The sequence below is a fragment of the Homo sapiens genome, chromosome 10, assembly GCF_000001405.40.
Source record: "Homo sapiens chromosome 10, GRCh38.p14 Primary Assembly".
Taxonomy (NCBI): Eukaryota; Metazoa; Chordata; class Mammalia; order Primates; family Hominidae; genus Homo; species Homo sapiens.
Genome location: NC_000010.11, coordinates 37,976,649 through 38,004,618, shown reverse-complemented (window position 1 = coordinate 38,004,618; position 27,970 = coordinate 37,976,649). Strand labels below are relative to the sequence as shown.

At 43.1% G+C, this 27,970-nt stretch overlaps 1 long non-coding RNA gene across 3 annotated transcripts, besides 2 other annotated features; it reads right to left on the bottom strand.

Moving 5' to 3' along the window:
• Window positions 1-63: 63 nt before the first annotated feature.
• Window positions 64-27,864, bottom strand: ZNF25-DT (ZNF25 divergent transcript). 3 transcript variants are annotated; one of them, XR_001747428.2, is made up of 7 exons: window positions 27,614-27,864; window positions 26,724-26,878; window positions 24,209-24,330; window positions 12,153-12,292; window positions 10,160-10,276; window positions 846-899; window positions 91-455 (listed from the first exon to the last, which is right to left on the bottom strand). It is a non-coding gene; the product is annotated as a ZNF25 divergent transcript (long non-coding RNA). The 3 variants fall into 3 exon arrangements; XR_930830.4 differs by lacking the exon at window positions 26,724-26,878 and having other exon boundaries at window positions 64-455; XR_001747429.2 differs by lacking the exons at window positions 10,160-10,276; window positions 26,724-26,878.
• Window positions 19,390-19,538: a silencer, noted in NCBI's record as "fragment chr10:38274009-38274157 (GRCh37/hg19 assembly coordinates)". NCBI's record gives its function as "represses an EF-1alpha promoter that drives an FKBP-Casp9 reporter gene in an ReSE screen in K562 erythroleukemia cells {active_cell/tissue: K562}" and the evidence as "EXISTENCE:reporter gene assay evidence [ECO:0000049][PMID:32094911]".
• Window positions 27,729-27,958: an enhancer, noted in NCBI's record as "active region_3272". NCBI's record gives its function as "activates an Ori minimal core promoter by ATAC-STARR-seq in GM12878 lymphoblastoid cells {active_cell/tissue: GM12878}" and the evidence as "EXISTENCE:reporter gene assay evidence [ECO:0000049][PMID:35858748]".

Here is a 27,970-nt window from a genome sequence, read left to right as displayed (position 1 = left end):
CATCAATCAGGTTTCAAATGGTAAAAGAGAGATCACTCAAGTATTACAACTGAGAGAATTTGATGAAGATTATTTAAAGCAGGTGTTTTAATGGTAAAAATGAACACTGAGCTAACACGGGATGACAACATCAGGTAGCAGCTACCTGTCTAGGGCTGGGAAACAGTGGAAAAGATTAAGGTCCTCAGAACTTAGAAACTCACAAGAGTGGCCCCAGAGAGCTACAATTAGACAGACAGCGGAGGCAGGGGCAGTGCCAGGATCATGCTGGTACCTCCAGTATTCAGAGAAGAGCTTTGCAGAACTGGAATTCAGGTGCTGTGCAGTTCCTATGTGAACTTCCAGAAAGGCATGTTGAGGCATATTGTGTTCACCTCTGAGAGTCATTACTGTCCAGCTAGTGCTGGTAGCCAGAGTGGGATCAATGTGGAGAGTTCTGGGAGAACTAAAAGAAGCTGAAGGGTGATCAAAATGTTCTGGAATTAGATAGTGGTGATGGTTGTACAACTTTGTGACTATAATTATTATTGAATTACACACTTTTAAGGGAGTAATTTTTGTATGTAAATTGTATCCCAAATTTACAAATACTTTTTTTTTTTTTTGAGACGGAGTCTAGCTCTGTCACCAGGCTGGAGCGCAGTGGCATGATCTCAACTCACTGCAACCTCCAATGAAGAAGGAATTCATGAATTTTGCAAGTATAATCAAAGACCACCAAGAAATTTTTACTTTTTCCTTCTAAGCTAAGTGTAGTATAGCCCCCACCCCCATAGTCTAAGTTAGAGAAGAATACTAACTGCCTGGTTTTCCTTCTGTGCTCAGCAAGCCTTATCTGTACTCACCAGTTTCCCATTCCTTGGGGCTCAGTGAATTCCTGCTTCACCTCCCTAGTGCAGCTGCAAAGTTACAAGGTTGATAAGTATATGTTACAGAAACATTGTTTCCCAAGGATGTGGAACAAGTAGTATAGGTAAATGTAAAAGACTGATCAACTGCCTTTGTTCTCACTTCTGTAAGTACACTTCCTGCATCACATAGCTCCTGGCCACTGGAAGCTTAAAAGGAGGCTGCATTCTTTGTCCAGGGTTCAGACTTTCCTGGACACTAGTCCTACTGAGCCAGGTGATCAACTTAATAAAGGCTTTCCTGAATTCTGTTCGGTCTCTCCCATCTCTGATTGTCCCGTAACATATCTGGGGGCCTGTCTGGGATTGGAGATGGCAGGTTTCTGTCTCCTTTGCCTGTGGGCTAGAGCCACAGGATGCAGGAGATTTGGGACCCTTGGTGCCACTGGGTAAGACTTAGCCCAGAAGGAGAATGGCTCTCCTGTTTATTGGAGCCTTCCCCTGACAGTGCAAACGCAACCGACTCGGGAGTTGCGGGACAGTCACAGGAGCAGCACAGAGGCAGACTACTGAACTGCGGTAAGGTTGGGCCCTGGAAAAGTCCGTCCCATAAGGACAGAAGGGGAGCTTGATCACCTTCCTGGGAATGACCACTTATCCACCCCAGAGTGGCTGGGGGTGGCAGGAGTGGCCTACCAATTTGGATGAAGCTTGTGTCCCCACTAACAAGTGAAAGTAGTTCACTGGATCTGGAACTCCTCTCTGGTTTTCACTTACCATCTTCAAACTGGGTCAATCTACTCTACCACCCAGGGTTCTGAAAATAAAATGTAGGAGCCCCTAGCCCAAGGCCTACCTGGAATATTGTAATTCCTCATTAAATGTGCTTTAAGTATTATATCAGGTTCTCCAGAGAAACTAAGTGTGTGTGTGCATGTGTGTGTGTGTGTTTGTATACTTGCATATATACATGTGTATATATTTACATATGTGTATATATATGAGAGAGATTTATCATAAGGAATTGGCTTATGCAATCATGCAATTATGGAGGTTGACAACTCTCAAGATCTGAAGGATGATGAGTCCATGTTTGGGGACCCAGGAGAGCCAGTTGTGTAGTTCCAGGCTGAAGGCCTGCAAGCATGAGGCCCAGGAAGAGCAGATCTTTCAATTCAAGTCCTAAGGCAGGAAAAAGCTAATGTGTCAATAAGAAGGCTTGTTTTATTCAATCCTTCAACTGACCAGATGAGGCCCACTCACATCAGGAAGACAGTCTACTCAGCCTACCAGTTATGTTTTCTCTTGTTTTAGTGGGGGCTTTTGCTGTTTTTCTTTGAGGGGGGGAGTTATTTTTAGCATAACTAAGCTTTTTATGTTTTTAACTTTGTTTGATTTTAGATTCAGGAGTACATGTGCATGTTTGCTACATGGGCATATTGTGAACTGGTGGGGATTGGACTTTTAGTGTACCCATTACCTAAATAGTCAACATTATCCAAATAGTGAGTCCTCACCCCTTTCCACCCTCCCCCCTTTTGGAGTCCACAGTTGTCTATTATTTCCATCTTTGTGTCAATTTGTACCGATTGTTTAGCTCCCACTTATAAGTGTGAATATGCAGTATTTGGTTTTCTGTTTCTGAGTTACTCTGCTTATGATAATGGCCTCCAGCTCCATCCATATTGTGGCAAAGGACATAATTTCATTCTTTTTAAAGGCTGGGTAATATTCTGTGGCACATATGTACCATATTTTATTTATTCAGTCAACTGTTGATGGACACTTAGCTTGGTTCCATAATTTTGATATCGTGAATAGTGCTGCTAGGAATATATAAATGCTGGGTTTTATTTGTTTGTTTTTGAGACAGGGTCTCACTCTGTCACCCAGGCTCGAGTGCAGTGGTGCTTTCCTGGCTCACTGTAACCTCAACCTCCTGGGCTCAAGGGATCCTTCTGCCTCAATCTACCAAGTAGCTGGGACGACAGGCACATGCCATCACACTTGGCTAATTTTTGTATATTTTGTAGAGATAGGATTTTGCTATGTTACCCAGGCTGGTCATGAACTGCTGGGCTCAAGGGATCTGCCCCCCTCAGCCTCCCAAATTGCTAGGATAATAGGCTTGAGCTACACTTTTTTTTTTTTTCTGAGATGGAGTCTTGCTCTCTCGCCCAGGCTGGAGTGCAGTGGCTTGATCTCAGCTCACTGCAACCTCTGCCTCCTGGGTTCAAACACTTCTCCTGCCTCAGCCTCCCAAGTAGCTGGGACTACAGGTGCCTGCCAACATGCGCAGCTAACTTTTTTTTTTTTTTATATACTTTAAGTTTTAGGGTACACGTGCACATTGTGCAGATTAGTTACATATGTATACATGTGCCATGCTGGTGCGCTGCACCCACTAACTCGTCATCTAGCATTAGGTATATCTCCCGATGCTATCCCTCCCCCCTCCCCCGACCCCACAACAATCCCCAGAGTGTGATATTCCCCTCCCTGTGTCCATGTGATCTCATTGTTCAATTCCCACCTATGAGTGAGAATATGCGGAGTTTGGCTTTTTGTTCTTGCGATAGTTTACTGAGAATGATGATTTCCAATTTCATCCATGTCCCTACAAAGGACATGAACTCATCATTTTTTATGGCTGCATAGTATTCCATGGTGTATATGTGCCACATTTTCTTAATCCAGTCTATCATTGTTGGACATTTGGGTTGGTTCCAAGTCTTTGCTGTCGTGAATAATGCCGCAATAAACATACGTGTGCCTGTGTCTTTATAGCAGCATGATTTATAGTCCTTTGGGTATATACCCAGTAATGGGATGGCTGGGTCAAATGGTATTTCTAGTTCTAGATCCCTGAGGAATTGCCACACTGACTTCCACAATGGTTGAACTAGTTTACTGTCCCACCAACAGTGTAAAAGTGTTCCTGTTTCTCCACATCCTCTCCAGCACCTGTTGTTTCCTGACTTTTTAATGATTGCCATTCTAACTGGTGTGAGATGGTATCTCATTGTGGTTTTGATTTGCATTTCTCTGATGGCCAGTGATGATGAGCATTTTTTCATGTGTTTTTTGGCTGCAAAAAATGTCTTCTTTTGAGAAGTGTCTGTTCATGTCCTTCGCCCACTTTTTGATGGGGTTGTTTGTTTTTTTCTTGTAAATTTGTTTGAGTTCATTGTAGATTCTGGATATTAGCCCTTTGTCAGATGAGTAGGTTGTGAAAATTTTCTCCCATTTTGTAGGTTGCCTGTTCACTCTGATGGTAGTTTCTTTTGCTGTGCAGAAGCTCTTTAGTTTAATTAGATCCCATTTGTCAATTTTGTCTTTTGTTGCCATTGCTTTTGGTGTTTTAGACATGAAGTCCTTGCCCATGCCTATGTCCTGAATGGTAATGCCTAGGTTTTCTTCTAGGTTTTTATGGTTTTAGGTCTAACGTTTAAGTCTTTAATCCATCTTGAATTGATTTTTGTATAAGGTGTAAGGAAGGGATCCAGTTTCAGCTTTCTACATATGGCTAGCCAGTTTTCCCAGCACCATTTATTAAATAGGGAATCCTTTCCCCATTGCTTGTTTTTCTCAGGTTTGTCAAAGATCAGATAGTTGTAGATATGTGGCGTTATTTCTGAGGGCTCTCTTCTGTTCCATTGATCTATATCTCTGTTTTGGTACCAGTACCATGCTGTTTTGGTTACTGTAGCCTTGTAGTATAGTTTGAAGTCAGGTAGTGTGATGCCTCCAGCTTTGTTCTTTTGGCTTAGGATTGACTTGGCGATGCGGGCTCTTTTTCAGTTCCATATGAACTTTAAAGTAGTTTTTTCCAATTCTGTGAAGAAAGGCATTGGTAGCTTGATGGGGATGGCATTGAATCTGTAAATTACCTTGGGCAGTATGGCCATTTTCACGATATTGATTCTTCCTACCCATGAGCATGGAATGTTCTTCCATTTGTTTGTATCCTCTTTTATTTCCTTGAGCAGTGGTTTGTAGTTCTCCTTGAAGAGGTCCTTCACATCCCTTGTAAGGTGGATTCCTAGGTATTTTATTCTCTTTGAAGCAATTGTGAATGGGAGTTCACTCATGATTTGGCTGTCTGTCTGTTGTTGGTGTATAAGAATGCTTGTGATTTTTGTACATTAATTTTTTTTATCCTGAGACTTTGCTGAAGTTCCTTATCAGCTTAAGGAGATTTGGGGCTGAGACAATGGGGTTTTCTAGATATACAATCATGTCATCTGCAAACAGGGACAATTTGACTTCCTCTTTTCCTAATGGAATACCCCTTTATTTCCTTCTCCTGCCTAATTGCCCTGGCCAGAAATTCCAACACTATGTTGAATACGAGTGGTGATAGAGGGCATCCCTGTCTTGTGCCAGTTTTCAAAAGGAATGCTTCCAGTTTTTGCCCATTCAGTATGATATTGGCTGTGGGTTTGTCATAGATAGCTCTTATTATTTTGAGATACGTCCCATCAATACCTAATTTATTGAGAGTTTTTAGCATGAAGGGTTGTTGAATTTTGTCAAAGGCTTTTTCTGCATCTATTGAGATAATCATATGGTTTTTGTCTTTGGCTCTGTTTATATGCTGGATTACATTTATTGATTTGCGTATATTGAACCAGCCTTGCATTCCAGGGATGAAGCCCACTTGATCATGGTGGATAAGCTTTTTGATGTGTTGCTGGATTCGTTTTGCCAGTTTTTTATTGAGGATTTTTGCATCAATGTTCATCAAGGATATTGGTCTAAAATTCTCTTTTTTTGTTGTGTCTCTTCCTGGCTTTGGTATCAGAATGATGCTGGCCTCATAAAATGAGTTAGGGAGGATTCCCTCTTTTTCTATTGATTGGAATAGTTTCAGAAGGAATGGTACCAGTTCCTCCTTGTACCTCTGGTAGAATTTGGCTGTGAATCCATCTGGTCCTGGACTCTTTTTGGTTGGTAAGCTATTGATTATTGCCACAATTTCAGCTCCTGTTATTGGTCTATTCAGAGATTCAACTTCTTCCTGGTTTAGTCTTGGGAGAGTGTATGTGTCCAGGAATTTATCCATTTCTTCTAGATTTTCTAGTTTATTTGCATAGAGGTGTTTGCAGTATTCTCTGATGGTAGTTTGTATTTCTGTGGGATCGGTGGTGATATCTCCTTTATCATTTTTTATTGCATCTATTTGATTCTTCTCTCTTTTTTTCTTTATTAGTCTTGCTAGCAGTCTATCAATTTTGTTGATCCTTTCAAAAAACCAGCTCCTGGATTCATTAATTTTTTGAAGGGTTTTTTGTGTCTCTATTTCCTTCAGTTCTGCTCTGATTTTAGTTATTTCTTGCCTTCTGCTAGCTTTTGAATGTGTTTGCTCTTGCTTTTCTAGTTCTTTTAATTGTGATGTTAGGGTGTCAATTTTGGATCTTTCCTGCTTTCTCTTGTGGGCATTTAGTGGTATAAATTTCCCTCTACACACTGCTTTGAATGTGTCCCAGAGATTATGGTATGTTGTGTCTTTGTTCTCATTGGTTTCAAAGAACATCTTTATTTCTGCCTTCATTTCGTTATGTACCCAGTAGTCATTCAGGAGCAGGTTGTTCAGTTCCCATGTAGTTGAGTGGTTTTGAGTGAGATTCTTAATCCAGAGTTCTAGTTTGATTGCACTGTGGTCTGAGAGATAGTTTGTTATAATTTCTGTTCTTTTACATTTGCTGAGGAGAGCTTTACTTCCCAGTATGTGGTCAATTTTGGAATAGATGTGGTGTGGTGCTGAAAAAAATGTATATTCTGTTGATTTGTGGTGGAGAGTTCTGTAGATGTCTGTTAGGTCCGCTTGGTGCAGAGCTGACTTCAATTCCTGGGTATCCTTGTTAACTTTCTGTCTCGTTGATCTGTCTAATGTTGACAGTGGGGTGTTAAAGTCTCCCATTATTATTGTGTGGGAGTCTAAGTCTCTTTGTAGGTCACTCAGGACTTGCTTTATGAGTCTTGGTGCTCCTGTATGGGCTGCATATGTATTTAGGATAGTTAGCTCTTCTTGTTGAATTGATCCCTTTACCATTATGTAATGGCCTTCTTTGTCTCTTTTGATCTTTGTTGGTTTAAGGTCTGTTTTATCAGAGACTAGAATTGCAACCCCTGCCTTTTTTTTGTTTTCCATTGGCTTGGTAGATCTTCCTCCATCCTTTTATTTTGAGCCTATGTGTGTCTCTGCACGTGAGATGGGTTTCCTGAATACAGCACACTGATGGTTCTTGACTTTTTATCCAATTTGCCAGTCTGTGTCTTTTAATTGGAGCATTTAGTCCATTTACATTTAAAGTTAATATTGTTATGTGTGAATTTGATCCTGTCATTATGATGTTAGCTGGTGATTTTGCTCGTTAGTTGATGCAGTTTCTTCCTCGTCTCAATGGTCTTTACATTTTGGCATGATTTTGCAGTGGCTGGTACCGGTTGTTCCTTTCCATGTTTAGTGCTTCCTTCAGGAGCTCTTGTAAGGCAGGCCTGGTAGTGACAAAATCTCTCAGCATTTGCTTGTCTGTAAAGGATTTTATTTCTCCTTCACTTATGAAGCTTAGTTTGGCTGGATATGAAATTCTGGGTTGAAAATTCTTTTCTTTAAGAATGTTGAATATCGGCCCCCACTCTCTTCTGGCTTGTAGGGTTTCTGCCAAGAGATCTGCTGTTAGTCTGATGGGCTTCCCTTTGAGGGTAACCTGACCTTTCTCTCTGGCTGCCCTTAACATTTTTTCCTTCATTTCAACTTTGGTGAATCTGACAATTATGTGTCTTGGAGTTGCTCTTCTCGAGTAGTATCTTTGTGGAGTTCTCTGTATTTCCTGAATCTGAATGTTGGCCTGCCTTGCTAGATTGGGGAAGTTCTCCTGGATAATATCCTGCAGCGTGTTTTCCAACTTGGCTCCCTTCTCCCCGTCACTTTCAGGTACACCAGTCAGACGTAGATTTGGTCTTTTCACATAGTCCCATATTTCTTGGAGGCTTTGCTCATTTCTTTTTATTCTTTTTTCTCTAAACTTCCCTTCTCGCTTCATTTCATTCATTTCATCTTCCATTGCTGATACCTTTTCTTCCAGCTGATCGCATCGGCTCCTGAGGCTTCTGCATTCTTCCCATAGTTCTCGAGCCTTGGTTTTCAGCTCCATTAGCTCCTTTAAGCACTTCTCTGTATTGGTTATTCTAGTTATACATTCTTCTAAATTTTTTTCAAAGTTTTCAACTTCTTTGCCTTTGGTTTGAATGTCCTGCCATAGCTCAGAGTAATTTGATCGTCTGAAGCCTTCTTCTCTCAGCTCGTCAAAGTCATTCTCCATCCAGCTTTGTTCCGTTGCTGGTGAGGAACTGCATTCCTTTGGAGGAGGAGAGGCGCTCTGCTTTGTAGAGTTTCCAGTTTTTCTGTTCTGTTTTTTCCCCATCTTTGTGGTTTTATCTACTTTTGGTCTTTGATGATGGTGATGTACAGATGGGTTTTTGGTGTGGATGTCCTTTGTGTTTGTTAGTTTTCCTTCTAACAGACAGGACCCTCAGCTGCAGTTCTGTTGGAATACCCTGCCGTGTGAGGTGTCAGTGTGCCCCTGGTTGGGGGTGCCTCCCAGTTAGGCTGCCTGGGGGTCAGGGGTCAGGGACCCACTTGAGGAGGCAGTCTGCCCGTTCTCAGATCTCCAGTTGCGTGCTGGGAGAACCACTGCTCTCTTCAAAGCTGTCAGGGACATTTAAGTCTGCAGAGGTTACTGCTGTCTTTTTGTTTGTGTGTGCCCTGCCCCCAGAGGTGGAGCCTACAGAGGCAGGCAGGCCTCCTTGAGCTGTGGTGGGCTCCACCCACTTTGAGCTTCCCGAACTTCCCGGCTTCTTTGTTTACCTAATCAAGCCTGGGCAATGGCGGGCGCCCCTCCCCCAGCCTCGCTGCCGTCTTGCAGTTTGATCTCAGACTGCTGTGCTAGCAATCAGCGAGACTCCGTGGGCGTAGGACCCTCCGAGCCAGGTGCAGGATATAATCTCATGGTGTGCCATTTTTTAAGCCTGTTGGAAAAGCGCAGTATTCGGGTGGGAGTGACCCGATTTTCCAGGTGCTGTCCGTCACCCCTTTCTTTGACTTGGAAAGCAAACTCCCTGACCCCTTGCGCTTCCCAAATGAGGCAATGCCTTGCCCTGCTTCGGCTCGCACCCACTGACCTGCGCCCACTGTCTGGCACTCCCTAGTGAGATGAACCCGGTACCTCAGATGGAAATGCAGAAATCACCCGTCTTCTGCGTCGCTCACGCTGGGAGCTGTAGACCGGAGCTGTTCCTATTCAGCCATCTTGGCTCCTCCCAGGCCATTTCTTTTTTTTTTTTTTTTTTTTAGTAGAGACGTGTTAGTCATGATGGTCTCAATCTCCTGACCTCGTGATCCATCCACCTCAGCCTCCCAAAGTGCTAGGATTACAGGAGTGAAAAACAGTGCCCAGACTAATTTTTGTCTTTTTTTGGTAGAGACAGGGTTTCACTATGTTGGCCAGGCTAGTCTCAAACTCCTGACCTTGTGATCCACCCGCCTTGGCCTCCCAAAGTGCTGGGATTACAGGCATGAGTCACGGCGCCCAGCCGCTTTTTTATGTAATGTCTTCTTTTCCTTTAGGTAGATACCCAGTACTGGGATTGCTGGTTCTATTTTCAGTTCTTTGAGAAACCTCCACACTGAGTTCTTTAGAGGTTTATACTCCCACCAACAGTATATAAGTGTTACCTTTTCTCTGCAACCATGCCAACATCCATTCTTTTTTACTTTTTTTTTTTTTTTTTTAAGACTAGTCAAGTGCAGTAGTGAGAAGGGGAGAAAAAATAGAACCAGGAGTTCAGTCTATAACTGACTGGGAACAATCAGTTGAGATAACTCAGTACCTTCAGACCAGCCTTGACTTTTTAGTAATAGCCATTCTGCCAGTCAGCTGGTTTAAATGTTAATCTCATTCAGAAACTCCCTTACAGACACATCCAGAATATCTGGGCACCCTGTGACCAAGTTAACACATAAAATTAATCATCACAAATATTAACCCTCATTGTTGTGCATAGGAGGCATCTGAGCCCAGAAAAGCAAAGTGAGATCACAGAGCACTCACTTACAAACTGGAACTAGCACCCCAGTTCCCTAATGAGGCCCCATTCATTGCTGCACAGGGACAACCTCCCAAGATGTGAAGGCTAATCCAAGTAGGCATGCAGAGACCTGGAATCCAATTCCCACAAACCCTGGCCCCACTCCCATCTGTGACTCCATTTGGGATCCTTAATTCGTTGACCATCTTTTCTGTTACCTGGAGTATGTCCTAGAGCCACGTTGGTGCCAGCCATGTCTACATCAGTGTTTTGAGCTGCAACAACTTGAATATGTATTCTGAACCCCCTCCCTGCTGCTTGGAGATCTTGAATTCCTTGTAGGAGGAAAAAGGGATGACTTGGTGATGAAATTCTTAGAATATGCTTGAGGTTATAACCCCTCATCCAGCTGGGGGATGACTTTGAAAGGTGGGACGCTAAGAACGAAGTTGTTAATGACAGGTCCAGAGTCTGAAAGGTGGGTAGCAACCATTGCCTCCCAACTCCCTTAAATAAAAGGACTGCAGGCCTCATTCCCAGAGAGGCCTTTTACTTCCAGGAAAAGCAGCCCCTCTTACCAGGATCTCATTCACACCTATTCCCCCTGAGCAAAAGGGGCTTGCTGGCTGCTGCAATCTGCCTTGCTCCCACAAACACAGTGGTAGAGCCCCAGAGGACTTGCAGCCTCAGAAGAGAGACTGGAAAGATGAGGGGACTATGGCAGCCTCAGAACAGCCACAAAGACTAACTCCTGAACATGTCGGTGGTGGGAACAACAGGTTCAATGTGGACAGTGGTACAATACAGTAACATACAATGATCATGCCTTCACTTCTCTTATTTTCTGGAATATATAAATGGCTATGGGACTTATGCTTTTAGCCAAGATGGAGTAACAGGAACCAAATTTATCCTCCCGTCTGAAAGGACTCGAATAGCAGACAAAATGTTGGAAATGATGGCGCACCAGACCATGGACATCAGGCAGTTGAAGGACAGTGTTCCTGAGAGACAGGAATCAAGTGAGGTGTGCCTCCGACTGCCCCAGCTTACACAGACTGCCCCAGCTTATAGCGTGAGACATTCCAGGCAGTGGCATGGGGATGGGAGCCCCAGGCAGAGCCCAGAGCTCTTCCTCGTTAAAGGAAATGAAGCTGGGGCCAGGTGCAGTGGCTCACACCTGTAATCCCAACATTTTGGCAGGCTGAGGGGGGTGGATCGCTTGAGGTCAGGCATTCAAGACCAGCCTGGCCAACATGGCAAAACCCTATCTCTACTACAAATACAAAAATTAGCCAGGTGGTAGCAGCATGTGCCTGTTATGCCAGCTACTAGGGAGGCTGAGCAAGAGAATTACTTGAGCCTGGGAGGCAGAGGTTGCAGTGAGCCAAGATTGTGCCACTGCACTCCAGCCTGGGTGACAGAGCAGGACTCTGTCGCAAAATATAAAATAAAAATAAAGGAAATGGAGCTGGCATTTGCAGGACTGAGTCTGCAGGGGAGGGAGCTGCACCAAGAGGAAGCTCCAGAGATGATAAGCAGAGGAAAAAACCAACCAGAAGAGCTTAAGAGAACAGTGTCAAGCTTTAAACTCTAGCTTTCTAAATATACTCCCCCCGCCCCATCATTCTTTCCTTTCCAGTTGGGCTCACTTAGCACTTCCAAGTTCCCAGGAAATTTCTTGAGTGGGTGTGGCACTGGAACTTGCCAAATACAAGTTATCTTTCTGTGATTTGCTCCCTTCAGAACCCTGGCACTTACACCTTAGTCCAGTGCCCCTCTCTGTGCTGGGAGAGAAGGGTCCATCACTCTGTGCCAAGGAAGTCCCCAGGCAATCAGGCAGATTCCCTTGGACTTCTTTCTGGAAGCCACCACACAGTCATGGCCCTGATGACACCCAAGGGTGCATAGAGCACAGGACTCCAGATGGAGCTCTGAGAGGAAATCTACCCTCTTACTTTCAAAATCATGGAAGTGAGGTTTGTGGATAGGTCAGAATTTGAATCTCCTTTGGAAAGTGACTCTTTTGGGGAAAGTGGGGCACAGGTTAAGGATCTGATGTGTGCTATGAGCTGTCTCTTCAGAAACATGAACTTACTCAAGCAGCGACACAATTTTGCTCATTCAGTGAATTTCATTATCTTCCTGCATCTCCTTAGCAGGCACCAGCTCAACAACTGCTAGAGACAAAGATGTCAGTTTCCTGCTTACCTGTATATGGAATCTGTGACTGTTCTTCCAAGCGGGGACTTGAGGAGTCTGAGCTTGATAAAGAGAGCCAGCTGGTCACCCCGGGCCATTTTCTTCCATCTGGTTTAGGTGCATATGGCCTCCTGCTGGCCATTCTGATCCTAAGGCCAGAGAAAGGGTCGATGGTAGTCATTTAGCCACTTAGTTATGCAGGTGCTCAGTGAAGCCTGTATGTGGTCTAGATTTTGAGGCTTTGTTGGTTAGAGCCAGGCAAGCAAGAGGGGTTTGGCAAGGATGAAATCATCAAGCCAAAGTTTCCCACATGCAGCAGTGTGATAAACTCTGTGCACAGATCCCCTCCCTCTGTGATGGGCTGAACTGCATCCCCTTTAAAATTCCCATGTTGAAGTCCTAATGCCCAGTACCTCAGAATCTGACATTTTGAGACAAGACCTTAGAAGATGTAATTAAGTTAAAAGGGGATCATAATCCAATATGACTGGTGTCTTTATAAAAAAAAAGAGATTACAGCACAGACACACACACTGGGACGACCATGAGACAGACACGGGGAAAAGATGGCTATCTACAAACCAAGAAGAGGCCTCAGGAGAAACCAACCTGCTCTTTGATCTTGGCCTTCCAGCCTCCACACAGTAAGACCATAGATTTCCATTGTCTTTGCTGCCCAGGCTGCAGTGCTTTGTTATGGCAGCTGCAGCCACCCTACCACCCTGCCACCCTGACACAGCACACTGAAGATGCTTTAGCATGGGTGTCCAAGGGAGTGAATACAGTCATGGGTTCTTAGTTTCTGTTTCTGGTTGGGCCAGCAAAGCCCATTCCTCATCCTTCTTTTCCACTTATCACTAGAGACAGAAACTAAAAACCATGGAATCAGGCTGCTAAAATCCTGAAACAAAACAAAACAGGACAACAACAACAAATAGGGTGGGTTAGACAAGTTCGGGAGAGTAGACAGAAAGTCTGACTCCTCCTGGAAGTCCAAATGAGACTTCTGTTTGTTGAATGAAAGACAGAGACTTGGCTAGGTACAGTGGCTCATGCCTGTAATCCCAGCCCTTTGGGAGGCTGAGGAAGGAGGATCACTTGAGTCCAGGACTTCAAGACCAGCCTGGGCAACATAGTGAGACCCAGTCTCCACTAAATATTAAAAAAAAAAAATTGGCCAGGCACGGTGGCTCACACCTGTAATCCCAGCACTTTGGGAGGCTGAGGCAGGAGGATCACTTGAGGTCAGGAGCTCAAGACCAGCCTGGCCAACATGCTAAACCCCGGTCTCTACCAAATAATACAAAAATTAGCCAGGCATAATGGCACATGCCTGTAGCTACTCGGGAGGCTGAGCTGGGAGAATCACTTGAACCTGGGAGGGGGAGCTTGCAGTGAGCTGAGATCACATCACTGCACTCCAGCCTGGGTGACAGAGAGAGACCCTGTCTCAAAAAAAAAAAAAATTATGCATGATGGTGCATGCCTGTAGTCCCAGCTGCTCAGGAGGCTGAGGTGGGCAGATCACTTGAGGCCCAGAGGCAAAGGCTGCAGTGAGCCAAGATTGTGCCACAGCCTGAGTGACAGAGCAAGACACTTGTCTCAAAAAAAAAAAAAAAAAAAAAAAAGACAGCGACTTGATAAGGAGGAGGAAGGAGACCCAGGTAGGGAAAGATGGCACTCATGACCATGGCCCAGAGAGCCCTCTTCAGAAGACAGTGTGGGGTGGGGCCTGAACAGTGGGAGAGAGGAAATGGGGAAAGGCAATTGCAGCTCAAGGCCCTAGCCACTGGCTCTGTCTCCTTCATGGAATGGCTCTAGCAAGCTGGTTCTATCCAGTTGAATGAAAATTGAATCCAAATCTTAAAAATTCCATCCCTGAAAGAAGAGGTGGGTGTCAAATAGATTCTAAGAATTCTAATACATTCTACAATATATTAAAAAATATTAAAGTCAGCCAGGTTCAGTGGCTCACACCTGTAATCCCAGCACTTTGGGAGGCTGAGGAGGGCGGATCACCTGAGGTCGGGAGTTGGAGACCAGCCTGACCAACATGGTGAAATTCCATCTCTACTAAAGATACAAAATTAGCTGGGCGTGGTGGTGCATGCCTGTAATCCCAGCTACTCGGGAGGCTGAGGCAGATTAATCGCTTGAACCCGGGAAGCGGAGGTTGCAGTGAGCCAAGATCGCACCATTGCACTCCAGGTTGGAAAACAAGACTGAAACTCCATCTCAAAAAATATAAATAAATAAATAAATAAAGGCATAATAATTAAAATATGTTTAGCACAGTATCAATGAATAATTGATTGCAGCAGAACTCAGAACAGATGATGGTACACGGAAAATAGTGAAATGTATGTATGTATTAAGTATTTAGAGACAGGGTCCTGCTCTGTCACACAGGCTGGAGTGCGGTGGTGTGATCACAGCTCACTATAATCTTGAACACGTGGACTCAAGCAACCTGCCACCTCAATCTCACAAACAGCTAGGATGACAGATGCACATCACCCCACACAGCTAATTTTCTTTTATTTTTTTCAGAGACAGGGTCTCATTATGTTGCCCAGGTTGGTCTCCAACTCCTGGCTTCAAGCAATCCTCCCAAAGCACTGGGATTTGAGGTGTGAGCCACACATGCACAGCCAGACATTGGTATTTATTGGCTTCATGAAGAAGCCACAGCAGAGGTATGGTGCGGGTCTTTGAGCTGTAGAATCAGCAGCTCAAACAATGCTTGAGCCTGTTCACCATCATGCTTCTCTTTGCTTTCCTACATTTCCACACATTTTTTCTCTTACTGAAAATGCATTCCAGTCACCAAGTAATTGGAACATAAACACCTCCAGTTATGAAAATCTTAGGATAAGCTCTCAGTGGTTCAACTTAATCAAAAACTCATCAATGAAATCTTCAATGTGAGACTAGGAGGGTGAGGTCCTGTGACTGGCCCATCTGGGTTAAGCACCAGCAGTAGAAAACTGTGAAAAATAATGCAGAGCCTACAAATGCAATAGCCACTCCGAAGGATAATTTTGTACACAATAAAAAAGAAATTTCAAATCCATGAAATAATAGCGAATGAATTTAACAGTGAAAGATCAATTGGCTATTCATTTAGAAGAAAACAAAGTCAGCTTCTTAGTTCACACCATATTCAATAAAGTAATAACACAGGGCTCAAGAGAGTATTCTATTTTTTAAAAAAGAGAGAGTATTCTATTTAAATTAAACACAGTTGTTTCATATGTTTTAAACAGAAGGAAAACCTGAAAAAAAAAATGCAAATTCTAACAAGAATCTCGGCCAGGCACAGTGGCTCATGCCTGTAATCCCAGCACTTTGGGAGGCCGAGGTGGGTGGATCACCTGAGGTCAGGAGCTCAAGACCAGCCTGACCAACATGGAGAAACCGCATCTCTACTAAAAATACAAAACTAGCCAAGCGTGGTGGCTTGTGCCTGTAATCCCAGCTACTTGGGAGGCTGAGGCAGGAGAATCACTTGAATCCGGGAGGTGGACATTGCGGTGAGCCGAGATCATGCCACTGCATTCCAGCCTGGGCAACAAGAGCAAAACTCCATCTCAAACAAACAACAAGAACAACAGCAACAAACAACTTCCAAAAATATTAAGTGGTCATTTAAAAAAAAATTCACCAAGAAAGATTGTTTCACTAGAGAGAAGTTTCACAGAAATCATTTTGCCATTCCAGAAGTCAACTACTTTATTTTTATTTTTATTTTTGACACAGTCTCCCTCTGTTGGCCAGGCTGGAGTGCAGTTGCGTGATCTTGGTGATCTTGGCTCACTGCAACTTCTGCCTCCCAGGTTCAAGCAATTCTCCTGCCTCAGCCTCCCAAGTAACTGGGATTACAGGCAGGCACCACCACACCTGACAATTAGTAGAGACAGAGTTTTGCCATGTTGGCCAGGCTGGTCTCAAATTCCGGAAATCAGGTGGTCTGCCCTCCTTGGCCTCCTAAAGTGCTGGGATTACAAGCGTGAGCCACTGCGCCTGGCCAACTACTTTCTTTCTTTTCTTTTTTTTTTTCTTTTTTTTTTTTTTTGAGACAGAATCTCTGTCACCCAGGTTGGAGCGCAATGGTGCGATCTTGGCTCACTGCAACCTCTGCCTCCCGGGTTCAAGTGATTCTCCTGCCTCAGCCTCTTGAGTAGCTGGGACCACAGGTGTGTGCCAACACGCCCAGCTAATTTTTGTATTTTTAGAAGAGACGGGGTTTCACCGTGTTGGTCAGGCTGGTCTCAAACTCCTGACCTTGTGATCAGCCTGCCTCAGCCACCCAAAGTGCTGGGATTACAGGCATGAGCCACTGCACCCGGCCTACTTTATTTCTTTATCTTGCCTGAATATACTAGCAGATCCTCCAGAACAATGTAGTACAGATGTGGTGTGAGTGGAAATCCTTGTCTTGTTCCCAATCTTGGAGAGATTTTTGTATTTTTAGTAGAGACAGGGTTTCATCATGTTGGCCAGACTAGTCTCAAACTCCTGACCTCAGGTGATCCACCCACCTCAGCCTCCCAAAGTGCTGGGATTATAGGCGTGAGCCACGGCACCCAGCCCCTTGCTTAATTTTAAGGTCTGAAGAATCTGTACTTTTTTTTTTTTTTTTTTTTTTTTTTTCTTTTTGAGACAGAGTCTGGCTCTATCACTCAGGCTGGAGTGCAATGGCATGATCTTGGTTCACTGAAACCTCCACCTCCTGGGTTCAAGCAATTCTCCTGCCTCAGCTTCCTGAGTAGCTGGGATTACAGGTGTGAGCCACCACCCCCAGCTAATTTGTGTATTTTTAGTAGAGACGGGGTTTCACCATGTTTGTCAGGCTGGTCTTGAACCCCTGACCTCGTGATCCGCCTGCCTTGGCCTTCCAAAGTGTTGGGATTACAGGCGTGAGCCATCGTGCCACTCTTATTCCTGATATTAGTCATTTGTTTGTTCCCTCTTTTCCTAATCGCTCTGGCTGGAGGCTTGTCAATTTTATTTCTCTTCTCAAATGACCAGCTTTTCAGTTCATTAATTTTCTCTATTTTCTTCTATTTCATTGATTTCCACTCTGATGCTTATTTATTTCCTTTCTCCTGCTTACTTTTAGCTATTTTTGCTCTTAAATGTTTCTGGTTCCTTAAGGTGGGAAGCTGAGGTCATTCATTAGAGACTTCTTTTTTTGAATGTTTAGTGCTAAAAATTTTCTTCCAAGTGCAGGTTTAATTGTATCCCACAAATTTTGATGTGTTTTTATTTTCATGCAGTTCAAATTACCTTCTAATTTCCCCCTTTTAATTTTCAATTTGACCCATGTGTTATTTTTTATTTTTTGAGATGGAGTGTTGCTCTGTCACCCAGGCTGGAGTGCTGTGGCACAATCTCAGCTCACCGCAACCTCTGTCCCCTGGGTTCAAGAAATTCTCCTGTCTCAGCCTCCTGATAGCTGAGACTACAGGCGCAGTCCACCACGTCTGGCTAATTTTTTGTATTTTGGTAGAGACAGGTTTTCACCATGTTGGCCAGACTGGTCTCAAGCTCCTGACCTCCTGATCCACCCACCTCAGCCTCCTAAAGTGCTGGGATTACAGGTGTGAACCACCGTGCCTGGTCTGACCCATGGGTTATTTAGAAGTATATTATTTAAGTAGGGTGCAATGGGTCATGCCTCTAATCCCAGCATTTTAGAGGCCAAAGCAGGAGAATTGCTTAAGTCCAGGAGTTTGAGACCAGCCTGGGCAACACAGTGAGACCTGCTCTCTACAAAAAATAAGAAAAACAGCTGGAGGCATGGTGGCACATGCCTGTAGTCCTAGCTACTAGGGAGGCTGAGGCCAGAAGATCACCTCATCCCAGGGTGGAGGCTGCAGTGAGCTATGATCACACCACTGCACTCCTATCTAGGCAACAAACAAGAAAAGAAAGAAGAATAAAGAGAAGGAAAACAAGGAAGAAGGAGAAGGAGAAAGAAAAAGAAGAAAGAGGAGAAGGAGGCAAAGGGGGAGGGGGAGAAGTAGGAGGAGAGAAGAGGAAAAAGAAGAAGAGGAGGAGAAAGAAGAAGAAATGAGTTTGGTATTTAGTTTCCAAATATTTGATTATTATCCAAATATAATTAGGTATTAATTTATAATTTAACTCCATTATGGCCAAAGAATGTATTTTGAATGACTTGAATTCTTTTAAATTTATGAGACATCTTTTATGGCCCAAATTATAGTCATTTTTGGTAAATATTCCATGTGTACTTGAACAGAATGTGTATTTTATTGTTGGAAAATGGAATTTTTTTCTTTTTTTTTTTTTTTGAGACCAAGTTTCACTCTTGTTGCCCAGGCTGGAGTGCAATGGCATGATCTTGGCTCACCACAACCTCTGCCTCCTGGGTGCAAGCAGTTCTCTTGCCTCAGCCTCCTGAGTAGCTGGGATTACTGGCGTGCACCACTATGTGCGGCTAATTTTGTATTTTTGGTAGAGATGGGGTTTCTTCATATTGGACAGGCTTGTCTCGAAGTCCCAACCTCAGGTGATCCACCCACCTCAGCCTCCCAAGGTTGCTGGGATTACAGGCGTGAGCCACCATGCTCAGCCAGGAAAATGGAATTTTTTATAAATGTCAGGTCAATAACCTAACATGGTTGATAGTGTTGTTTAGGTTTTTGATATCCTTGTTGATTTTCTATTCCACCAAATATTGAGAAGGAGTATGAGATTTCAAACTATAATTGCAGATTGTAGTTTATCAAGCTTCCTGGTTCTCCCAACTATGGTTTTCATAAAATGTATAAAATGTCTGGCCATTAATGTTTCAAATAAAAATTTTACTGTCCCCTTCTCCACCCTCTTCTTGTGGATTTCAATTACATATATGTCAGACAGCTTAAAGTTGTCCCACAGCTCACTGATGCTTCTTATTTTTTATATTTTCTTATTGTTTCATTTTGAAGTTTCTACTGCTATCTTAAAATGTACCAATCTTCCCTTCAGTTTCTAATCTGCTGTTAATCCCATTCAGTGTATTTTCATCACAGACATTGTAAGTTCCATCTCTACATGTTTGGTTTGATCTTTTAATATCTTCCATGTCGGCTGTGTGCGGTGGCTCACACTTGTAATCCCAGCACTTTTGGAGGCCAAGGAGGGTGGATCACTAGGTCAGGAGTTCAAGACCAGCCTGGCTAGCATGGTGAAACCCTGTCTCTACTAAAAATACAAAAATTAGCTGTGCGTGGTGGCATGTGCCTGTAACCCCAGCTACTCAGGAGGCTGAGGCAAGAGAATTGCTTGAACCCAGGAGGCGGAGACTGCAGTGAGCTGAGATTGTGCCACTGCACTGCAGCCTGTGTGACAGAGCAAGACTCTGTCTCAAAAAAAAGAAAAAATATCTTCCATAAATATCTTCCATGTCTCTGCTTGTCTCTGAACATCTAGAACACAGTTATGGAAACTTGTTTAATGTCCTTGTCTGCTAAATCTGACATGTGCATCAGTTCTGGGTCAGTTTTGCATAGTTGATTTTTCTCCTCATAGTGAGTTATTATTTTTCTGTTTCTTTGCAAACCTGCTGATCTTTTTTTTTTTTTTTGAGACGGAGTCTCACTCTGTTGCCCAGGCTGGAGTGCGATGGCGTGATCTCAACTCACTGCAACCTCCAACTCCCTGGTTCAAGCAGTTCTCCTGCCTCAGCCTCCTGAGTAGCTGAGACTACAGGTGCCTGCCACCACGCCCAGCTAATTTTTGTCTTTTTAGTAGAGAGAGGGTTTCACCATGCTTGCCAGGCTGCTCTCCACCTCCTGACCTCAGGTGATCCACCCACCTTGGCCTCCCAAAGTGCTGGGATTACAGGCATGAGCCACTCCTGGCCAAGCCTGCTAATCTTTGAATGAGATTAGCAGATATTACAAATTTTATGGTGCTTTTAGCCCCATAAAATGTTTTTGTATTTCTCTAAATATTCTTGAGGCTTCTTCTGGGGTGCAGTTAATTGATAGTGTTGGGTCTTGCTTTTAACATTTGTAGTGTTTATTCTAGGGCTAATTATTCTTTGTTGCTGAGACAAGATCATTCTGAGTACTCTACCCCAGTGCTCATGAATTATGATTTTCTCATCCTGGCTGGTGACAGCAGGTACTTTTTCCAGCATCACTGGGCTCTATTCTCTTCAATCTTTTTGGATGATTCCCCAGTCTCAGGTGATATCCTCATACGCATGTTCCAGACAGCACTCTGCTGAGTTTTCAAGGGGACCTTCTGAAGATCACCAGAGCTGTCTCTCTCTGTGCAGCTCTCTTCCTTGGTAATTTGTCCTACAAACTCTAGCTGCCTTGGTGTCTCTGGACTCTCAGCTGCGTCTCCTCAATTCAAGGAGTCTATGACGCTCAGCCTGGGATCCCCCTCCTTGTGCCACAGCCTGGAAACTCTTTTAAGGCAGTAAGCTGTGGCAAATGTAGAGCTTACTTATTTCATGTTTCATGGGTCACTGTGCTCATTGCCTGATATCCAGTGACTTGAAAACATTGTTTCATATATTTTATCTGGTTTCTTCAGTTGTTTTAGGCAGGAGGGTAAATCCAGTCCTTGTTACTCCACCTTGGCCAGAAACGGTTTTTGTTTTGGTTTGTTTGTTTGTTTAGACAGAGTCTCCCTCTATTGCCCAGACTGGCGTGAAGTGGCGTGATCTCGGCTCATTGCAACCTCTGCCTCCTGGGTTCAAGTGATTCTTCCAACTCAGGAGACACGGGCCACCACACCTGTGTTGTGGGAAGTCAGGGACCCTGAACAGAGGGACCGGCTGGAGCCGTGGCAGAGGAACATAAATTGTGAAGATTTCATAGACATTTACCAGTTCCCAAATAATACTTTCATAATTTCTTTCTCCTGTCTTACTTTAATCTCTTAATCCTATTATCTTCGTAAACTGAGGATGTATGTCACCTCAGGACCACTATTGTGTTAACTGTACAAATTGAATGTAAAACATGTGTGTTTGAACAATATGAAATCATTGCACCTTGAAAAAGAATAGAATAACAGCGATTTTCAGGGAACAAGGGAAGACAACTATAAGGTCTGACTGCCTGCGGGGTTGGGCAAAATAGAGCCATATTTTTCTTCTTGCAGAGAGCCTATAAATGGAGGTGCAAGTAGGGAAGATATCGCTAAATTCTTTTCCTAGCAAGGATTAATACTCTGGGAAAGGAATGCATTCCTGTGGGGAGGTCTATAAACGGCTTCTTTGGGAGTGTCTGTCTTTTTTTTTTTTTTTTTTTTTTTTTTTGAGACGGAGTCTCACTCTGTCGCCCAGGTCGGACTGCGGACTGCAGTGGCGCAATCTCGGCTCACTGCAAGCTCCGCTTCCCGGGTTCACGCCATTCTCCTGCCTCAGCCTCCCGAGGGGAGTGTCTGTCTTACATGGTTGAGATAAGGACTGAAATATGCCCTGGTCTCCTGCAGTACCCTCAGGCTTACTAGGGTGGGGAAAAACCCTGCCCCACTAAATTTGAGGTCAGCCTGGTTCTCTGCTCTCAAACCCTGTTTTCTGTTGTTTAAGATGTTTATAAAGACAATACGTGCACCACTGAACATAGACCCTTATCAGTAATTCTGCTTTTGCCCTTTGCCTTGTGATCTTGTTTTTGCCCTTTGCTTTGTGATCTTTGCCTTTGCCCTTTGTCTTGTGATCTTTGTTAGACCCTTATTAGGAGTTTCTGATTTTTCCCTTAGAAGCATGTGATCTTTGTGACCTACTCCCTGTTCTTGCACCCCCTCCCCTTTTGAAATCCTTAATAAAACTTGCTGGCTTTAAGGCTCAGGTGGGCATCACGGTCCTACCGATGTGATGTCACCCCCAGAGGCCCAGCTGTAAAATTCCTCTCTTTGTACTCTTTCTCTTTATTTTTCTCAGCCGGCTGACACTTATGGAAAATAGAAAGAACCTATGTTGAAATATTGGGGGCAGGTTCCCCTGATATGCCCAGATAGTTTTTGTATCTATTGTAGAGATGGGGTTTCACTATGTTGGCCAGGCTGGTCTCAAACTCCTGACCTCAAGTGATCCACCCGCCTCGGCCTCCCAAAGTACTGGGATTACAGGCATGAGTCATCACACCCAGCCCAGAAACAGTTTTTGAATTGGATCTTGAATCAGAAAAACAATTATCTATAAAAGTCTTAATTGAAGGCTGGGCGTAGTGGCTCATGCCTGTAATCTCAGCACTTTAGGAGGATGAGATGGGGAGATCACGAGGTAAAGAGATCGAGATCATCCTGGATAACATGGTGAAAATCCATCTCTACTTAAAAAAAAAAATACAAAATTTACCCGGGCATGGTGGTGCATGCCTGTAGTCCCAGCTACTCAGGAGGCTGATGCAGGACAATCACTTGAACCTGAGAAGGGGAGATTGTAGTGAGCCGAGATTGTGCCACAGCACTGCAGCCTGGGTGACAGAGTAAGACTCCATCTCAAGAAAAAAAAAAAAAAGACTTAATTGAGACAATCAGTGAAATTTGAACATGGACTGTACATTATAGATTAGATATTATATCTTTGTTAAATTTTTCTGATTTTGAGCACTGTACCATGGTTATCTGAGAATTTTATCCTTGCTGATAGAAAATATACAGCTAAGAACTTAGGAGTAAAGTGGAATGATTCCTACAACTGACTCTCAAATGATTAAGAAAAATAAATACATAATATACACAAATAGCAAAAATTATGAAGCAAATGTGCCAAAATATTAATGATGGAATTATCTTGGTGAAGGATATATGATAATTCAATTTTTTTTTTTCTGAGATGGAGTTTCAGTCTGTCACCCAGGCTGGGGTACAATGGCATGATCTTGGCTCACTGTAACCTCCGCCTCCCAGGTTCAAGCAATTCTCCTGCCTCAGCCTCCTGAGTAGCTGAGCTTACAGGTGTGCACCACTACACCCAGCTAATTTTTATATTTTTAGTAGAGATGGGGTTTCACTATGTTCTCAAACTCCTGACATCGTGATCCATCTGCCTCAGCCTCTCAAAATGCTGGGATTACAGGCAGGAGCAACCATGCCTGGCCTATAGGAGAATTCTTTATCCTACTTTTGCAATTTATTTATAAGTTAAAGATTACTTCAGGCCAGGTGCAGTGGCTCACGTCTGTAATCCCAGCACTTTGGGAGGTGGAGGTGGACAGATCACCTGAAGTCAGGATTTCAAGACCAGCCTGCCAACATGGTGAAACCCCAACTCTACTAAAAATAGAAAAAAATAGCCGGGTATGGTGGCAAACACCTGTAATCCCAGCTACTTGGGAGGCTGATGCACAAGAATAGCTTGAACCTGGGAGATGGAAGTTGCAGTAAGCCGAGATTGCACCACTGCACTCCGGCCTGGGTGATAGAGTGAGACTCTATCTAAAAAAAAAATTAAAAATAAGATTACCTCAAAATAAATGAGTAAAAGAAATTGCAATAATAAATTGCAAAACTGGTCTTTATTGTTAGAAGTGAGGATGGGGGCTGGGTGCAGTGGCTCACGCCTGTAATCTCAGCATTTTCCAAGGCCGAGGTGGGTGGATCATCTGAGGTCAGGAGTTCCAGACCAGCCTGGCCAACATGGTGAAACCCTGTCTCTACTAAAAATGCAGAAAATTAGCCAAGCATGGTGGCACATGCCTGTAATCCCAGCTACTCAGGAGGCTGAAGCAGGAGAATCACTTGAACCAAGGAGGCAGAGGTTGCAGTGAGCTGAGATCGTGCCATTGCACTCCAGTCTGGGCAACAAGAGAGAAACTCCATCTCAAAAAAAAAAAAAAAAAACCAGAAATCAAGATGGGGCTACTTTTGAGAGGGAGAGAAATGACCAATAAAGAATGGGTCATTCAAGGAGACTTCAGGCACTGGTAATATTGTCTTTGAACTCCTTGGTGTTTACATGTTTGTGTTTACCTCTCTTCATCATTCACTTATCAATTATACAGTGATACACATGCCATTGCATACTTTTATATTTTTTATACTTCAATAAAAACATTTTTAAGTAAAATTAAACTATTCAGATATAACACCTTGAGGATTGCTTTCTTTCTGTGTCTTCTTTCCTGAATCCCTAGTGAAGTCCTCAGGTCAGGGTGATAGTCTCCTAGGTGGTTCTCTTCTTCATTTCAAAAGAACAGTTTTATTCCTTATGCTGTGGAGAAACCAAATGTAAAAATTCACCTTGTGTGAACCCTTCACCAGTGACTTCAAATTGCTACTTCTCTTGGAACTTACTAACTTCTAAAAATTAAGAGTGGACTTTCAGTAAATTTGAAATGAAACTTTTAACATATGGCACACCAAATATCCATGACACCAAATTCCAGGAGCCCCACAGGGATAGTTTATAGCCACCCTTAGGAGAGAGAGACCTCAAGACCAAATTAGAAAGAAAAGAAAAAAAGGTATATATATATGTCCACACTGTTTTGTTTTCAATGAAAATTTTAACATATACTAAATTCTCATGTATATTTGGATCTTCTGTGCTTTTTCGAAACTAGCATCAAACTTAAATTACTTTTTATTTCATTGATTTATTTTTTGAGACACAGACTCACTGTGTTGCCAGGCTGGATTTCAGTGGCACGATCTTGGCCCACTGTAACCTCTGCCTCCCAGGTTCAAGTGATTCTCCTGCCTCAGCCTCCCGAGTAGCTGGGACTGCAGGCATGCACCACCATGCCCAGCTAATTTTTGTATTTTTAGTAGAGACAGGGTTTCACCATGTTGGCCAGGATATTCTCGATCTCTTGACCTCGTGATCCTCCCACCTCAGCCTCCCAAAGTGCTGGGATTACAGGGGTGAGCTACCACGCCCAGCCTTAAATTACTTTTTAAATTTGCATTTTCAAAAAAAGTTCTGTCAATGAAAAAAGTCAACTCTGTAAAATATTTAAAGAGATTTATTCTGAGCCAAATGTGAGTGATCATGGACCTTGACACAGCCCTCTGGATGTCATGAGAACATGCGCCCAAGGTGGTTGGGGGTGCAGGTTGATTTTATACATTGTAGGAGGGCATGAGACATCAATCAAATACATTTAAGGAATACATTGGTTTGTTCCAGGAAGGCAGGACAACTTGAAGGGTGGGGGTGCTTCCAGGCTACAGGTAAATTTAACCATTTTCTAGTTGACAATTGGTTGAATTTTTGTCTAAGGAGCTGGGATCAATAGAAAGGAAATGTTCAGGTTAAGATAAAAGGTTGTGGAGACCAAAGTTCTTTTGAAGTCTCATAGTGGCTATCCTTGAAAACAAGAGATGACAGATGTTTCCTATTCAGACCCTTTAAAAGGTGCTAGACTCTCAGTCAATCTATTCAGAATTAGAAGGGCCTGGAAGGAAAAGGCCTAGCTATGTTAGTTAATAGAGATTATTTAGAGATGCAAATTTTCCCACAAAGGACGGCTTGCAGGGCCATTTCAAAATGTGACAAACATGTTTTTGGGGTAAAATGTTTTTATTTTCTTCCTTGTCTCATAATGTTATGCCAGAGTCTGGTTGGAAAGTAAGTCACATTTTATGGGGTTAAATAAAACCCATCTGATATGAATTTATGGTTTGTAGGGCATAACTCCTCAGACCCCTTAGATAGAAATTTGGATAAGATAAAAAAAATCAGAGTTTAGTCTTCAGTTCCTTGCTATTCCCTGAGGTTGTTTCCTGAGGAAGTTAAAAATTATTTTATCAAGTAAAACAAAACTAAGCTCCCCGTTAAGATTTTTTAATTTAAATTTTGATTGAAATTGTGTTAAATTTTATAGTTTCTCTAAGGGTAAATATAAATATAAAAATTTGGGCTGGGCGCAGTGGCTCACGCCTGTAATCCCAGCACTTTGGGAGGCTGAGGCAGGTGGATCACGAAGTCAGGAGCTCAAGACCACCTTGGCCAAGATGGTGAAATCCCGTCTCTACTAAAAATACAAAAAAAATTAGCCAGGCGTGGTGGTGGGCGACTGTAATCCCAGCTACTCAGGAGGCTGAAGCAGAGAATTCCTTGAACCTGGGAGGCAGAGGTTGCAGTGAGCCGGGATCATGCCACTGCATCCCAGTCTGGGTGACAAAGCCAGACTCTGTCTCAAAGAAAAAAATAAAACAACTGAATTTTCCTTCTTGCAAAAAGGGAAAAAGACCTTTACTCCTCTCTTTTCTTACAGCATTTCCTTAAGAAAACTTGTAATTGTAAATCCCTTCTCTGTCCCTGTGAGATATAGCAAAACTTTTTAAAAAGTAAATAAGCTTCTTGCTAGTTTAACAACCCAGGAAGGTCTTTCTTAATGGCCTTGGGTCATGTCTTTGAAATGTAAGCATCAAGGAAGATTGCACCCCATCTCCCTGCCTCTGTGGTAAACTCCTAGGCTCCTGGCTACCCGCGGTTAACTACCTGCGTGTCATAGAGATACCAGAAACTTTACTTTTCATTTGCATAATGGCAATTAACTAACACTGATGGCTACCCTAATTATCAGGTGAATTTCAGATGAATTATGCATAGCAAATGTTGCTGTACAGTCATCTTACTTGAGGACAAGTTATTTTTACCTTGAGGAAATAGAATGCGTTGTACCAGACCGGCTAATACAAAAAATGATAGTTCTTCCTGTCTTCATAAACTCATTAGTGGGTTGCCTGTGACGCACATCGCAGTCTGGTTTAATGTTTATTCAATAATGTAACTGTTTTGTTCTTTTCTCCATCTGTGGAGAGAATTTTCTGGGTTGGCAAGAGGCTTTATTTTAAATTATTTCCTCAATACTTCCCATCCAGAAAGGTGGTGTGTGTGTGTGTATTATGTGCGCATATTTTTATATGTATATATATGTGTGTTTATACACATGACAATATATACGTTTTTTTCTAGATGATTCTACATGTTTTAATGTAATAAAGTTATTGACCAGGAAATATATAATTTGTTTTACATATACAGCCAAGTCCTCTCTCTGTATCCGCGGGGGATTAGTACCAGGACCTCCCTGGATTACTCAAATCCAGGGATGTTCAAGTCTCTGGTAGAAAATAACCTGATATTTGCATAACCTACACACCTCCTCCTGTATATTTTAAATTATGTCTAGATTAATTGTACACCTAACACAATGTAAATACTATGTAAATAGTTTTATTGTATTGTTTAGGGTATAATGACAAGGGGGAAACTTTGTACATGTTCAGTAAGATAGAATTTTTAAGTATTTTCATTCTGAGCTTAGTTGAATCCATAGATATGCACCCCCAGGATAAGGAGGGATGACTATATATATTCCTTAGTGAAATGATAGTCATGATACTCTATACCATTAGGTTAAAATTTGTGTAAATTCATGAGAAGGATGTTCACCTAACATTAAGCGCTTTTGCTTTTGGGAAGTGGTATACTCGTTTTCTGTTTTAGCTTATACATATTTTGTAGTTTATTACGTTTCGCGTACCGTTTGCACAATTGTGAAAGCTAGCATTCCTAAGAGGAAGCGGTTACAGGGCATTATCCTTCATTACTCCACGTACTCCTGTACCCACGGAGTTCAATCACTTTAACAAAACTGCCCATCAGTGTTCCTTGGAGCACCTCACGGTGGATTTCTGTCTTCAAGCCCAGACGTGCAGGGTGCAGCTCTCCGGCCATCACTGAGCAAGGACAGCGCCCTCTCCCGGAAACCCGACAGCAATCACTCAGGCCGCTGGAGGCGGCCGCGCCTCACGACGTCATCCAAGATGGAGTCGCAGCCGGGCCTTCTGGGAAGCGTAGTTCTGGAGTAGGGCTAGGGAAACGTTCTGCGCATGTGCAG